At 48.0% G+C, this 15,379-nt stretch overlaps 1 protein-coding gene, 1 non-coding gene and 1 pseudogene across 6 annotated transcripts in view, besides 9 other annotated features; 2 read left to right on the top strand and 1 right to left on the bottom strand.

Annotated features, from left to right (window-relative positions):
* The window catches only part of HTT (huntingtin), a 169,280-nt gene extending 157,049 nt beyond the window's left edge, over positions 1-12,231 (bottom strand). For both annotated transcript variants that reach the window (NM_002111.8, NM_001388492.1), the window contains 1 exon segment: positions 11,824-12,231. In NM_002111.8, the coding sequence (NP_002102.4) occupies positions 11,824-12,086 (263 nt within the window). In that variant the 5' untranslated portion in view covers positions 12,087-12,231.
* Positions 7,099-7,238: an enhancer, noted in NCBI's record as "active region_21218". NCBI's record gives its function as "activates an Ori minimal core promoter by ATAC-STARR-seq in GM12878 lymphoblastoid cells {active_cell/tissue: GM12878}" and the evidence as "EXISTENCE:reporter gene assay evidence [ECO:0000049][PMID:35858748]".
* RNU7-33P (RNA, U7 small nuclear 33 pseudogene) lies at positions 8,370-8,428 on the top strand (annotated as a pseudogene).
* Positions 8,916-9,055: an enhancer, noted in NCBI's record as "active region_21217". NCBI's record gives its function as "activates an Ori minimal core promoter by ATAC-STARR-seq in GM12878 lymphoblastoid cells {active_cell/tissue: GM12878}" and the evidence as "EXISTENCE:reporter gene assay evidence [ECO:0000049][PMID:35858748]".
* Positions 11,336-11,385: an enhancer, noted in NCBI's record as "active region_21216". NCBI's record gives its function as "activates an Ori minimal core promoter by ATAC-STARR-seq in GM12878 lymphoblastoid cells {active_cell/tissue: GM12878}" and the evidence as "EXISTENCE:reporter gene assay evidence [ECO:0000049][PMID:35858748]".
* Positions 11,396-11,625: an enhancer, noted in NCBI's record as "active region_21215". NCBI's record gives its function as "activates an Ori minimal core promoter by ATAC-STARR-seq in GM12878 lymphoblastoid cells {active_cell/tissue: GM12878}" and the evidence as "EXISTENCE:reporter gene assay evidence [ECO:0000049][PMID:35858748]".
* Positions 11,786-11,855: a silencer, noted in NCBI's record as "silent region_15200". NCBI's record gives its function as "represses an Ori minimal core promoter by ATAC-STARR-seq in GM12878 lymphoblastoid cells {active_cell/tissue: GM12878}" and the evidence as "EXISTENCE:reporter gene assay evidence [ECO:0000049][PMID:35858748]".
* Positions 11,966-12,405: a silencer, noted in NCBI's record as "silent region_15199". NCBI's record gives its function as "represses an Ori minimal core promoter by ATAC-STARR-seq in GM12878 lymphoblastoid cells {active_cell/tissue: GM12878}" and the evidence as "EXISTENCE:reporter gene assay evidence [ECO:0000049][PMID:35858748]".
* Positions 11,972-12,035: a tandem repeat, named in NCBI's record as "huntingtin repeat instability region".
* Positions 11,973-12,035: a repeat instability region, noted in NCBI's record as "repeat instability region; expansion of the (CAG)n trinucleotide repeat is associated with Huntington disease". NCBI's record gives the evidence for it as "EXISTENCE:nucleotide sequencing assay evidence [ECO:0000219][PMID:8458085]" and "EXISTENCE:polymerase chain reaction evidence [ECO:0000082][PMID:8133509, PMID:8458085]".
* Positions 12,288-15,379, top strand: part of HTT-AS (HTT antisense RNA) — a 28,486-nt gene continuing 25,394 nt past the window's right edge. For 2 of the 4 annotated variants that reach the window (NR_185915.1, NR_045414.2), the window contains exon 1: positions 12,288-12,486. This is a non-coding gene — a non-coding RNA (HTT antisense RNA). Of the gene's footprint in view, positions 12,556-15,379 lie in introns of all 4 variants that reach the window. The other 2 variants (NR_185916.1, NR_185914.2) reach the window with 2 other exon arrangements.
* Positions 12,556-13,175: a silencer, noted in NCBI's record as "silent region_15198". NCBI's record gives its function as "represses an Ori minimal core promoter by ATAC-STARR-seq in GM12878 lymphoblastoid cells {active_cell/tissue: GM12878}" and the evidence as "EXISTENCE:reporter gene assay evidence [ECO:0000049][PMID:35858748]".

Here is a 15,379-nt window from a genome sequence, read left to right as displayed (position 1 = left end):
ATATGTGTTGAATTACCCACTCCACTTAGTTCTACACCTCATTCATTCATTCAGTGAGTGTTTCTCGACTACTATGAATAAACCGTTATACTCCATGTTGCGGGCAGAATGGGGATCTGGACAGGGAAGCACAGGGCACGAGTTCACCAATGGCTGTCAAGCTACGCTGCTCACAGAAAAAACAGATGATGTTACTAAAGCAGTTCATTTCCCCCATTTTACTTTATTTTACTTTTTTTTAGAGTCAGGATCTTGCTCTGCTGCCCAGGCTGGAGTACGATAGCACAATCATGGCTCACTTTAGCCTTAAACTCCTAGGCTGAAAGGATCCTCCCGTCTCAGCCTCCTGAGTGGCGCGGACCACAGGCACGCACCACTGGGCCTGGCTAATTTTTTCAAAATATTTTGTAGAGACGGGGCCTCACGATGTTGCCCAATTGCTCAAACTCCTGGCCTCAAGCGATCTTCCCATCTTGGCCTCCCAAAGCACTGGGATTATAGGTATGAGCCACCATGACTGGCCTCACTTCCCCCATTATAGAGAGAAGAAATTGAAGTGCCAACCATGACATGCCCAAGATCACACAGATATGAAGTCATACAGCCAGCATTTAAACCCAGGTCTTCTGGCTTTAAATCTCCTCTGTATTTCACCAATACTCAATCAATTTCACGTTTGAATCATGTGTTAACATCACTAAAGCCAAACTGCATCTTACAACCAGTGGTATAGTTTGATTAGAAACTTTCTTTCTTTCTCAGCAGTACAGAAGATGATGGCATAGATTACAAGAGATGGGAAATTCAATTAGAAGAAACACAGTCTAATACCTACTCTATATATACCAGGCTGCCTTCAGTTCTCAAAATCGTTAACTGACTACAATCAACATACCACACAGACCTCAGTAAAATATAAGCAATGGCTAACTGCTTCTATGTCCCCAAATAGCTGGGAATAAGCCTCCTATTAAGACTTCTCAGCCAAGCAAAAGGAGATAAACAGCCTGGCGAAGATGATCAGGCTAAAGATGCCTCCTTCCCATCCAAACCTATGGCTTCAGATGTCTTCACAGTTGGCACTATCAAAATAAAGTAGAGAGGGGTGATCCAAAACATAGGACCAACTAAAAACAACTAAACTAAAAGACTACTAAGTTTCTGAGAAAATTGTATTACCAAAGAAATAAAAAATCTAACTTAAAAACACTGCCTTGCTATCTCATTTTGTCCAATAAGCAAACCTGGAAGTTTAAGAAACTAAAACTAATTCCTTCCCCCATGGAATTTAGTTAAGATGATGAACTGATAACTCAAACTGACTTGTTCTACATGAAAAGTAAGTATGGTGATTAAGTGAAAAAGAAACCACCTTGCTCTGAGCAAGAACTGGAAAAACAGGGTAAGAACAGTCCTGGCTTTTCAATCACTTTTGGTAAATGTAGTCACTTTCACTTCACCTTCAAAATTAAAACAAACGGCCAGGTGTGGCTCACGCCTGTAATCCCAGCACTTTGGGAGGCTGGGGCAGCAGATCATCTGAGGTCAGGAGTTCGAGACCAGCCTGGCCAGCATGGTGAAACGCTGCTCTACTAAAAATACAAAAAATAGTTGGGCGTGGTGGCGGGCGCCTATAATCCCAGCTACTCGGGAGGCTGCGGCAGAAGAACTGCTTGAACCCAGGAGGCAGAGGTTGCAGTGCACCAAGATTGCGCCATTGCACTCTAGCCTGGGGAACAGAGCCAGACTGTCTCAAAAAAAAAAAAATTAAAACAATCCTCCGCCAGCCTCCTCTAATTGTGTAATCAAGCAATCTGCACGGGCACACAAGCGTAAGGAGGGGCATGTAAACTCAAGGACACTACAGCATTCTATTTATTTATTTTTTTTTTTCCCCCGAGACGGAGTCTTGCTCTGTCGCCCAGGCTGGAGTGCAGTGGCGCGATCTCAGCTCACTGCCAGCTCTGCCTCCCGGGTTCACACCATTCTCCTGCTTCAGCCTCCCAAGTAGCTGGGACTACAGGCACCCACCACTATACCCGGCTAATTTTTTGTATTTTTTAGTAGAGACGGGGTTTCACCGTGTTAGCCGGGATGGTCTGGATCTCCTGACCTCGTGATCTGCCCATCTCGGCCTCCCAAAGTGCTGGGATTACAGGTGTGAGCCACCACACCCGGCCCAGTAATGCTGTATTTTAATTGATCTTGGTTTTTTTTTTTTGGAGATGGAGTCTTACTCTGTCACACAGGCTGAAGTGCAATGGCGCACTCTCAGCTCACTGCAACCTCTGCCCCTCGGGTTCAAGCAGTTCTCTTGCCTCAGCCTCCCAAGTAGCTGGGACTACAGGTGCACACCACCATGCCCGGCTAATTTTTGTATTTTTAGTCAAGATGGGGTTTCATCATGTTGGCCCGGCTGGTCTCGAACTCCTGACCTCAAGTGATCTGCCCACCTTGGCCTCCCAAAAGTGCTGGGATTACAGGCATGAGCCACCACGTCCGACCTGATCTTGATGTTTTAATGTCATGTGTGTTGGATTATTTGGATGAACATTACCTCTGGTTTGTTTCACTCTGAACATGGGAGACTGAGACACAAGTATCACTTGAACCCAGGAGGCAGAGGTTGCAGTGAGAAAAGATCATGCCACTGCACTCCAGCCTGGGCAACAGAGCAAGACTCTGTCGCCAAAAAAAAAAAAAAAAAAAAAAAGACAAAGCATTTCCATTACAAGTATTCCCCTGTGTTGTCCTTTTATAACCACATTCACCTCCCTCTCTTTTCTCTCCTCTGCCACCACTAACCTACTCTACTACCCCATCTCTAACCCCAGGCAACCACTAATCTATTCTCCATCCCTAAAACTGTGCCATTGCAAAAAAACATAGAATCATACAGTATGTATAACCTTTTGGGATTGGCTTTTTTCATTAGCATAACTTCACCTAAACTGTTGCATGCTATCAGTAGCTCATTCCTTTTTATTACTGAGTAGTTTAACCATTCACCTGTTGAAGGACATCTGAGCTGATTCCAGTTCTTAGATATTATGGGTAAAGCTGCTATGCATACTTGAGTATAGGTTTTTATGTGAACATTAAGGTTTCATTTCTCTAGGATTAATGCCCAGGATTGTAGTTGCTGCTGGGCTGTATACTAACGGTATGTTCAGTTTTATGACAAACTGCCAAACTGTTTTCCAGAGTGGCCGTACTATATTATATTCCCACCAGCAATAAGTGACCTAGTTTTTCTAAATCCTCACCAGCATGTGGTATTGTCAAAGTGATCTTTTCATCTAAATGCATATATATACATATATATGTGTGTGTGTGTGTGTGTGTGTGTGTGTGTGTGTGTGTGTGTGTGTGTGTGTGTGTATATTTAGAGACAGGGTCTCACTCTCTTGCCCAGGTTGTAGTGTAGTGGCATAATCATAGCTCACTGCAGCCTCAAACTCCTGGACTCAAGCAATCCTCCAGCCTCCTCAGCCTCCTGAGTAGCTGGGACTACAGGCACACACCACTATGCCCAGCTAATTTTTTAAAGTTTTTTGTAGAGACCTTATAGGTGCTGCTATGTTGGCTATGCTGGTCGTCTGGCCTCAGGCAATCCTCCCACCACACCGTCTCAAACTACTGGTATTACAGGCATGAACCATTGTGCCCAGCCAAAATGATCTTTTAAAAACATAAATTAAACTACTTGTTTTGACCACACAAGCTTATCTTGGTGCACAAGACGCTCGTCTCTAACCTCTCATCTCTCGCAGCCTCATCCTTATTTCTGCCCTTCACCTTACTTCAGCCACTGGCCTCCTTACTGGTTCTCAAACATGGAAAGCATTTCTGCCTTCTGTTAACTCTGCCTGGACCTCTCTTCTCCCGCTATACACATGGCTTGCCCCCTTTCCACTCAAATGTCACCTTCTAACCACAGCTCTCCTTTGTGCCCTAAATAAAATTGCACATTGTCTCTCCCCTCATTCGGTTGTTTTTCTCCATAGTGGCTGCTCAGATGAAAGGGTCCTTCCAGTTCATCTAAGCGAGTCCCACTACCAATGGCTGGGAGCTCTCCGCAGGCTCACCTCAGCTCACTCATCACAGCTACAGAAATGCTCAACGGCCCTACAGCAGATAAGCAAGGCCACCTCAGCTACACCTGGACACATATGAGCAACACAGGTCTTCCTCCCAAATGCTTGCATTGTTATTAGCAACAACAAAGGTAAGGTCTAAGCACCTACAGTGGAGCTTCCCAAACTCCAATGTGCATGTAAGTCACTCACTGAACCTGTTAAAACACAGACTCTGATTTGTCAGGTCAAGCAGAGAGAGTCTGCTTATGAGATCCCAAATGATACCAAACGACTGTCCCTGAGACCTCACTGTGATAGCAAGGACCTATGGACATATCATGTCTCTAACATACATTCTAGCCCCCAAATTGATCCAATTTAATACAATATTAAACAGTGCTTTATAAGGTATTTTATTTTTCCTCCTTGTTGTCTGAATAAGACTAAATGTTTTGAGTGTGGATCCATTCAAAGGTAGTTTATCAAGTGGTTGACTTATTTACAGGAAATGGAGGTGATGGGGATGGGGACTTCTCAAGGTAGAGAGAATATGTCACCAGCACATTCTACAGCCACAAAAATGTGAGACCTTTGCCTTTACATCTCCAAAAGTCCTCTTTTAAAAAGAAATTCTAAAATATTACATAGCAATTAATAAGAATTACAGGTACTGCTATGGAACAATATCTATGACACATTGTTAAGTAAAAAAATACATATGTAATGTGATCTCAGTCAAGCAAACAAAAAATGACACATTTAAATGCTTGTATATGCATATTAAAATCTGGGAAGAAGACACAAGAAACACTTTTGTTCTTAGGAAGTTAGACAAAGATGACAGACTTGCAAGAAGGGCTTTGTTTTTCATCTGTGCTGCTTGAAGATATTTTTATAATGTATATGTGTAACTTTTATAATTTTCAAAACTAGTTTAAAAAAAAAACAAAAACAGCCAAAAAAGAAATGCTTTCCAGCAGGGTGTGGTGGCTCACACCCTGTAATCCCAGCACTTTGGGAGGCTGAGGCGGGTGGATCACCTGAGGTCAGGAGTTCAAGACCAGCCTGACCAACATGGAGAAACCCCGTCTCTACTAAAAATACAAAATTAGCTGGGTGTGGTGGCGCATGCCTGTAATCCCAGCTACTAGGGAGGCCGTGCAGGAGAATGTCTTGAACCTGGGAGGCAGAGGTTGCAGTGAGCCGAGATCGCGCCACTGCACTCCAGCCTGGGCAACAAGAGTGAAACTCCGTCTCAAAAAAAAAAAAAAAAAAAAAAAAAGAAATGCTTTCCAAATGTGGTCCTATCATATTTTAACCTAGGAGTGGGAAAACTATAACCTGCATATTTTTGGCTAGTTCACAAGCTAAGAAATGTTTTTACATTTTTAAATGGTTGACCAAAATAATCAAATACTATCTCATGACAGGTGAAAATTATATGAAATTCAAACTTCCTTGTCATTAATAAAATTCTATTGGAACACAGACACTCATACATATTGCTTATGGCTACTTTCATGCTACAATGGCAGAGCCGCGTAGCTGTGACAGAGACACTGTGCCCACACAGCCCGAAATACTTACAATCTGACCATTTACACAAAGTTTGCCCATGTTCATAGGTGGAAGACAATATTGTTAAGATGCGAATACTCCCCAAGTTGATCTACAGATTCAACACAATCCCTCTCAGAATCCTACTTGGCTTCTTTGTTGAAACTGACAAGCTGATCCTACAATTCGTACGGAAATGCAAGGGACCCAGCATGGCCAAATCAATCTTGAAAAGGAACAAAGTTGGAGAACTCACATTTCATGAATTTAAACTGTGACACAAACTTCAGTAATCAAGACTGTATGGTACTGGCACAGGATCGACATAAAGACCAACAGGTAGAACTGACAGTCTAGAAATAAATTTATACAATTAAGGACGATTAATTTTCAACAAGGGTACTAAGATAATTCCATGGGGAAAGAATAGTCTCTTCAACAAACAGTGCTGGGACAACTGAATAACCACATGGAAAAGAATAAAGTTGGACTTCTACCTGAACCATATATAAAAATTAACTCAAAATGGATCAGACTTAAATGTAAAACTCTAAAATTCTTAGAAGAAAACATAGGAGTAAACCTTTTTGACTTTGGATTAGACAATGATTTCTTAGATATGACACTTGAAGCACAGCAACCAAAGACAAAATAGATAAACTCGACTTCATCAAAATTAAAAACTTTTACACTTCAAAAGACACTATCAAGAAAGTAAAAAGACAATCCAAAGGAAGGGAGAGTTTTTACAAATCATCTATCTGATAAGAATCCAGTATCCAGAATATATAAAGAACTATTACAATTCAACAATAAAAATACAAAGGGAAAAAATGAGAACAAGGGTTTGCAAGGTAAGTATAAGAAAGAGCCTGGGTTCTGACCGGGTGCAGTGGCCCAAACCTGTAATCCCAGCACTTTGGCAGGCTGAGGCGAGTGGATCACCTGAGGTCAGAAGTTCGAGACCAGCCTGGCCAACATGGTGAAACCCCATCTCTACTAAAAACACAAAAATTAGCTGGGCATGGTGGTATACGCCTGTAATCCCAGTTACTTGGGAGGCTGAGGCAGAAGAATCACTTGAACCCAGGAGGTAGAGGTTTTAGTGAGCTGAGATCACATCATTGCACTCCAGCCCGGGTGACAAGAGCGAAACTCCGTTTCAAAAAAAAAAAAAAGAAAGAGCCTGGGTTCCTTAACTTATTGTTGAATTTCCCCAGACTTATTTTTGTCTTCTGATAAGCTCTTGCTTGTTACCAGTTTAAGCTATTGCAGCAGGATTTTCTGTTACTTGCAGCTGAATACAAACCTGATAACGCAAGCTACTGCTAAATTGTTATACTTAGCAGAGTTCAACAAGTGCAGTTGGTTCCGCATTCAAAATCCAGTCAGTCATTCCTCACACTGCCCACAGCCGACAGCCGGTACCCTGACAGAACCCACCATGCTTATCTGAGCACTGCAGTGGCTTCCTAACTGGTTTCTGCTTTTGCCGGTGTTCCCCTTCACTCTGTTGTCAGCCAGAGTTCACTTAAGATTGAAATTCAGATCATGCTACTCCTCTGCTCTAATCCTCCAGTGACATCCCATCTCACTCACATAAATGCCAATATCTTTATTCCATCTACAAGGCAAGTAGTATTGGTCTGATATGGCACTCCCTTGACCTCTTGGACCTTACTTCTTACTACAAATGTCCCCCTCACTCAATTCACCCAACTAAAATGACATCCTTGCTATTCCTGAAACAGGAAGATTTTGGACCTGTTCCCCCCATCTGGAATACCACTACTTCATACACCCTTACACTAGACTCTTAACTCGCTTGAGGTCTTTACTCAAAAGCCATCATCTGGCCAGGTGTGATGGCTCACACCTATAGTCCCAACACATTGTGAGGTTGAGGTGGGAGGATCACTTGAGCCCAGGAGTTCAAGGCTGAAGTGAGCTACGATAGTGATACTGCATTCCAGCCTGGGTTAAAGAGCAAGACCTTGCCCCCCAACCCCAAAAAAAAAAAAAAAAAAAGCTGTCTTCTCAGTGGACCTTCCCTGAACACCGTATTTAAAATATCAACACTGGCCAGGTATGGTGGCTCATGCCTGTAATCCTAGCACTTTGGGAGGCCAAGGCAGGCAGATCACATGAGGCCGGGAGTTCGAGACCAGCCTGCTCATCATGGCAAAACCCCATCTCTACTAAAAATACAAAAATTACCCAGGCGTGGCCGGGCACAGTGGCTCATGCCTGTAATCCCAGCACTTTGGGAGGCCGAGGTGGGCGGATCACAAGGTCGGCGGATGACGAGGTCAGGAGATCAAGATCATCCTGGCTAACACGGTGAAACCCCGTCTCTATTAAAAATACAAAAAAATTAGCTGGACGTGGTGGCAGGCGCCTGTAGTCCCAGCTACTTGGGAGACTGAGGCAGGAGAATGGCGTGAACTCGGGAAGCGGAGCTTGCAGTGAGCTGAGATCGCGCCACTGCACTCCAGCCTGGGCGACAGAGCAAGACTCCGTCTCGGGGGAAAAAAAAAAAATTACCCAGGCATGGCAGTGCATGTCTATAATCCCAGCTAAACAGGAGGCTGAGGCATGAGAATCACTTGAACCCAAGAGGCAGAGGTTGCAGTGAGCCAAGATCACACTAGTGCACTCCAGCCTGGCTGATAGAGCAAGAACTGTCTCAAAAAAAACAAAACAAAACAAAATAAAATAAAAATGTCAACACTTAGTGCTACAGCTCTTTTGGAATTTGTCTAGCAGGCTTTCTGGGTTTTGCTGGAAAGCCCTTAACAATTTTTTTAAAAATAAAAATAAGTTAACACTCGATTAACCCTGACATTTCCCTATCCCCTTCCCTGCTTTGAAGTTCCTCCACGTATTAACGTACTGTATATTTTACTTATCTATCTTGCTTACTGTCTATGTCCTTCATTAGAATGAAAGCTTCACGAGGGCAGAGCTTTGTCTGCTCACTGCTGAGCCCTGCACCTATAACAGTGCCAGGCACATAGTACATGTTTAGTAAATATTTACTGATGAATGAATAAAGTCAGGGAAACACCAGATAGGAATCTGAAGGAGAATAAGAAACTGCCAGAAGCAAGTATTAATTGCCTCCTAATTACTGTGAGGACCCTCCCAAGCATGCTAGATTTGCTGAGCCTGCAGCCAGCCCCATAAGGAACTCCTGCATCCTGTATGCTGAGCAGAGCACAAACACTCATAAACTGAGGCCCATGCATGGCGTGACACCACAGTTCCACACCAAAGAGCAAGAGCCATAAAAACAGAACAGATACTTTCTAAATTGCTTTCATCAATCTTACTTTGAGAAGAGGATTTTTTGGCTGAAGCACGTGAACAGAACTGCCAAAATCCAAACTTTGTGAGCAGTGTTTGTTACTCAAAATTAGTGAATACCTCCTTTCTCAACAGCAAAATACAGAGAAATATGACAAATATGCATTTTATTTAAAATAACTATAAAACTATAAATAAACCTAATGCAGTTGATTTCAGAGCATGCTAAGAACCTTTAAAAGTTATTATTCTAGCCAGGCATGGTGGCTCACACCTGTAATCCCAGCACTTTGGGAGGCCGAGGTGGACAGATCACAAGGTCAGGAGTTCAAGACCAGCCTGGCCAACATGGTGAAACCCCATCTCTACTAAAAATACAAAAATTAGCTGGACATGGTGGTGGGCGCCTGTAATCCCAGCTACTCAGAAGGCTGAGGCAGGAGAAGCATTTGAACCTGGGAGGCAGAGACTGCAGTGAGCCGAGATTGTATCACTGCACTCCAGCCTGGGTGACAATGTGAGACTACATCTCAAAAAATATATAGATATATATTATTCTAAACTACTTTTGTTTTTAGAGCATTTTAAATCTATCTTACAATATGAACAGGTTATATCTGGCAGGATACATGAGGAACTGAAATAGTGCTTGTTCTTGGGGACAAAGTTAGGTACTCAGAGGAAAGGGGTGGAAGGAAGATATTTTAATTATTGCCCTTTTGTAATTACAGAATTTGTATCATGTCAATGTATTACTTATGCAAAAATAATACATTAAAAAAAATTTTTTTTGAGATAGAGTCTCGCTCTGTCACCCAGGCTGGAGTGCAGTGGCGTGATCTCAACTCACTGCAGACTCTGCCTCCCGGGTTCAAGCGATTTTCCTGCCTCAGCCTCCCAGGTAGCTTGGATTACAGGCACGTGCCACCATGACCAGCTAATTTTTGTATTTTTAGTAGAGACAGGGTTTCACCATGTTAGCCAGGCTGGTCTCAAACTCCTGACCTCAGGTGATTCGTCCACCTAGGCCTCCCAAAGTGCTCGGATTAAAGGTGTAAGCCACCTTGCCAGTCCTGATTAAATTTTTTAAATAAGGTAATCATATATTACCTTAAAGTAATGAAACAAAATCTATCTCCTTTGTCAAGGCAGCAAAGGAAATTTCTTGATACCCATATTTTGAAGATAAGCAAATGCAGGTTCTGTCAAATCAGCATAAGAAAGAGAAGGCATATTTTTAGAATGATCAAGTGTCTGAAGCAGCCCAGCAGAAAGGTCTTCCTTCCCATCAGGAGCCCTGTTTAGTGTTTACACAAGATACATGCAATGTGTGAACTTTTATGACACCTACCTCCTAGAAAAGCACTACAGTAAATTTCTGGATGAGAAATTACTTACTGAAGAGATAAGCCAAATTGTTTTAAAATTTCTCCAAATATCCAAAAAGTTTTTCCATCCTTTAGAATAATTTATTCCTAAATTTTATTCCAACAAATAAGCTAACACTGCTCTCCGAATCATTTTCTAATTAAACTTTGAAGACGAGACAAGGATCATAACAGAAACAAAGAACAAGAAATATTACTAAAAATTAATCAGTCTTAACAGAGATATTCTTACCAAATGCCATCTGGGACACATCCAGATCGGAAATAGAATACTGAGAGGTAAGAGAAAGGCCTGAACTGCACCAGAGTACTTCCTAACTCCTACTGTACACTCGACACACAGACTTCCAGGGAAAGTCCTGGGGTTCCGCTAGATGTTTTAATGGTCTCTCTTTTCCTGTTTCAAAAATTCTCCCCAAGAACAAGCAACAGAAACCCCTAGCTTCCAAAAAGTAACAAGCTGTCAGCAATGAAGCAAACAGAAACCCTTTCACTGGCACATCTGAGATGCCCACGGAGTCTGCGGACCCCCCGTATTCTGGCAAGCCTGACTGGAATACTGGTAAAATGTACACCTCATTCATCCCTCGGCAATTAACCTCCCCATCAGCAACGTGTTGGTTTTATTCCCAACACACATAGGCAAAAAACTTCAATCAACTCTTCCTAATATTTAAGATAATTTCATTAATCACCACGTAAGTTCACCACTTTACTTGGCAACCACAACTCATTCAAACGCCTGCAGACCAACTTAGGCTTAGATGAGCAGATCTCTTAGGTGGTGCTTAAAATCGTGTTACTACCACCGTGATCATGAACTAAATGAAATGTCCTGACAATGTAGGAAGAGCCTCAAATCTCAGGCTGTTTTAAGTGCCACTAGGAAAAGAAATCTCCCATTGGACGCGCCCTCACTCCCCGCCCCCCCCCTGCCCCGCCACTCCCGCCGAGGCGTCCTAAAAGCATTATGTCATCCACTGCCCCCACATCTCTCCAGCTCCAAACCCCGCCTCCTCTCGAAGTGTCCCGCGCCCCCAGCCCTCTTCCCTCTCAGACTAGAAGAGGGAAGTGGCACTGAGCAAATCTCGGCTCCTCCAAGTTCTCTTCACAACGCAGTTAAAAGAACCCCCGCCCTGGTTTCTCGCAAATAAAAAGAAACAAGTTCTCGCCCCAACTCTTCGCATCCTGCGAAGGGCGAGAGGGCTGAGGCCGTGACTCCCCTCGGTGAATTCAGGACAGGCCCCAACAAGGCTCTGCCTCCCCTCGCGAGAGGACAAGGGAAGACCCAAGTGAGGGAGCGGGGCTGAAGTGGGGGAAGGCCTCGCCCCAGGAGGGGGCGGGTGTCCCTCATGGGCTCTGGGTTGCTGGGTCACTCTGTCTCTGCGGGGCCGGGGGTTCGTGTCGCCGGCCCGCAGGCTGCAGGGTTACCGCCATCCCCGCCGTAGCCTGGGACCCGCCGGGACAGGGAGCTGCAGCGGGCCCAAACTCACGGTCGGTGCAGCGGCTCCTCAGCCACAGCCGGGCCGGGTGGCGGCGGGGGCGGCGGCGGGGGCGGCTGCGGCTGAGGCAGCAGCGGCTGTGCCTGCGGCGGCGGCTGAGGAAGCTGAGGAGGCGGCGGCGGCGGCGGCGGCGGTGGCGGCTGTTGCTGCTGCTGCTGCTGCTGCTGCTGCTGCTGCTGCTGCTGCTGCTGCTGCTGCTGCTGGAAGGACTTGAGGGACTCGAAGGCCTTCATCAGCTTTTCCAGGGTCGCCATGGCGGTCTCCCGCCCGGCACGGCAGTCCCCGGAGGCCTCGGGCCGACTCGCGGCGCCGCTCAGCACCGGGGCAATGAATGGGGCTCTGGGCCGCAGGTAAAAGCAGAACCTGAGCGGCCGTCCATCTTGGACCCGTCCCGGCAGCCCCCACGGCGCCTTGCGTCCCAGACGCTGCGCCGGCGGAGGCGGGGCCGCGCCGGCGGAGGCGGGGCCACGCCGGCCAGCATGATTGACAGCCCTAGCCTGCGGACTCTGCCAATGGCTGGCCAGGGAACCAGCCCGCCCCTGCCCCCGCAGGTTCTGCCTCACACAGCAAGGCCGCTGACAGCGCAGCGCCCCACCCGGGCGAAGGCGCGGGGCTCAACGGAGAGGGGACGGGGCGTGGTGAGACTGTAATGGGGTGAGGCGAAGCTGTGTGTGAAGTGTCGCGGCGAGGCGGGACGAGGAAGGGACGGGGCGGGACTGCATGGTAAGGGAGGCGTGGCGATGCGGGGGGCGTGGCGATGCGGGGGGCGTGGTGAGGTAGGGGCGTGGCGAGGCCGGGGCGGGGCACAGCAGGGAGGCCGCCTGAGGGGCGGGGCGAGACGGGGGCGGGGCGGGGCGATGCTGGGGACGGGGACATTAGGCAGGCCGGCTGAGGGGCGGGGCGGCTGAGGGGCGGAGCGGGATAGGGGAGGGGACTGGCCGGTGAGGGGTGGGGAGGCTGGGGGCGGGGCAGGAAGGTGAGAGGTGGGGCGAGGGAGGGGTGGGGCGCGGAGGGGCAGGGCCATGGAGGGGCTCGCCCATGAAGGACGGGGCCATGGACGGGGCGGGGCCGTGGAGGGGGCGCCGAGCGCGGGCGCAGGCCCATGCGGAAAGGATCCCCCGCCGACGCCTGGAGCGGGGCGACAGCCGGCCGTGGACTCTGAGCCGAGGTGGCCTTGGGGTTTGCCCTCCCGCCACACTGGCCCGTGGCCAGAGCCATACTCACCCGGACAGCCCTGCGGGGAGCCAGCTGCGGGGCTCTCTGCACGGGGAGAGGGTGGGCGAGCTCCTGCGCAGAGCGCAGAGAATGCGCGTGGTCGGCACGACCTGAGGACCCCAAGTGTGACCCCCACCCCACCCCCAGTGAGCTGGAGAGGCCCCTGCAGGGCGGTGTCCACAGGCCTGGCGCCCCCCATCGGTCCCAGCGCAGCGCCCCGGAAGGGAGGAGAGGGTCTGGGGCAGGCCTGGGTGGTCAGCGCCTGCTGCCCACAGAGGCACTGTGATTAGTGCAGCGAGAAGCAGCTATGGCCACAAGATGCCGCCCACAGGAATGAGTCCCGACCTGGGGGCGTTTCTTTATGGGAGTGCACCCCTGCTCTGACCTTCCGGCAGGACCCCCAAGGGGCGTCATTCAGCAGCAGCTCAGCAGAGGTCTGTGGGGCACCCCCTCACGCCTGGGACACAGGCCGTGGCGGGCAGGGTCCTGGTCTCCAGAGCCTCCTGCCTTTTGGGTGGTAGAGGGGCAAACGGAGAGGGCAGCTGTCCAGCCTGCCCAGCAGGGAGTAAGGTTGGCCTCAGAGACAACCGCCCAGCCGGGGGGTGATGCAGGCAGAGAGGAGCCCAGTAAAGCCTACTTTAGCCAGGCCACACCTGCAACCCAGAGTCCCCTGCTCTGTGGCCACAAACAGCACCTCCGCCTTGTCTCAGAGCCTGTCCTAAAGGGAAACCCAGCATTGTCCCCAGTGGGGTAGCAGTAGCCTCCCTTTTCTTGAGAAGGACAGCAGAGAAACAGCTGTTAGTTCCCAGTTCTTGGGAGGCTGATGTGGGAGGATCACCTGAACCCAGGAATTTGAGGCTGCAAGTGAGCTAGGATTGCACCACTGCACTCCAGCTTGGGTGATAGAGCGACACTGTCTCTAAAAAAATTAAGTTCCAGCGAGGTGCGGTGGCTCACGCCTGTAATCCCAGCACTTTGGGAGGCCAAGGCAGGCAGATCACCAGAGGTCAGGAGTTCGAGACCAGCCTGGCCAACATGGCGAAACCCTGTCTCTACTAAAAATACAAAAATTAGCCGGGTGTAGTGGTGCATGCCTGTAGTCCCAGCTATTCCGGAGGCTGAGGCAGAATTGCTTGAACCTGGGAGGTGGAGGTTGCAGTGAGCCAAGATCATGCCATTGCACTCCAGCCTGGGTGACAAGAGTGAGACTCTGTCTCAAAAATAAATAAATAAATAAAGTTCCCAGTTCTCTGCTGTTAATAAGGGCCTTTGTCCACTGTGTCAGGCCTCAAGGTTGTTAGTTACCTCAGTGGGCAGACTCATAAGATGGCCCCAGCACCCCTCACCTCCTGGTATTGACACCCTTGTATGACCCCTCCCCGTGAGCTTGGGCTGTACCTGGTGGCCTGCTTCTAACCAATGGGCAAAGGTGATGGAATGTCACCCCATGACTAGGTCGCAAAAGGGTATGACTTCAGTCTCCCTGGCCCTCTCTGTTGCCTTCTTGGCATGGATGCTCTGATGAAGTCAGCTGCCATGTTGGAGAGGCCCACATGGCGAGGACATAAAGGCGGCCTCTGGCCAACAGGCAGTGAGAACTGAGGTTCTCAGTCCAGCAGGCCATGAGGAACTGGATCCTGCCAACACCACGTGAGATTGGAAAGGGACCCTTCCCCGGCTGAGCTCTCAGGTGGGAGGCAGCTGGTATTTGACTGAACCCTGGCGAGAAGTGGAGCTGGTTAAGCTGGGTCCAAATTCCTGACCCACAGAACGTGTGACGATACATATGGCTCTACACGTAACTACATATAACTCTATGACTAGACATGTGTGCTGCCAAGCCACAGTGCTGGGGTGATTTGTTCCAGCAGCAGATGACTGTATTTGTTTACTTGGGCTGCCATAACAAAGTACCACAGACCGGGCAGCTTAAACAACAGAAATGTATCTTCTCATGGTCCTAGAGGCTAGAAGTCCGAGATGAAGGTGTTGGCAAGGTTGGTTTCCCCTGAGCCCTGTCCTTGACTTGCAGACAGCTGCCTTTCTTGGTGTCCTCACGTGGCCGTCCCTCTGAGCATGTCCGTGTCCTAATCTCTTCTTGTAAGACATCAGTCGGATTATGGCCCACCCTAATGATCTCATTTTAGCCTCCTTACCTCCTTAAAGAACCTGTCTCCAAATACAATCCCATTCTGAGGTTCTGGGGCTTAGGACATCAACCTGAATGAGGGACACAGTTCGTCCCATAACAATAAGTAATAGAGTTGCACCCTAGCAGCCGCTCTGACCTTCTTTAGAGACCTTTTTATCTAAGCAGTTTGCCTCTTAGCTA

Source organism: Homo sapiens, chromosome 4 (assembly GCF_000001405.40).
Source record: "Homo sapiens chromosome 4, GRCh38.p14 Primary Assembly".
In the NCBI taxonomy this organism is placed as follows: Eukaryota; Metazoa; Chordata; class Mammalia; order Primates; family Hominidae; genus Homo; species Homo sapiens.
This window is presented reverse-complemented; position numbering and strand designations above follow the sequence as displayed.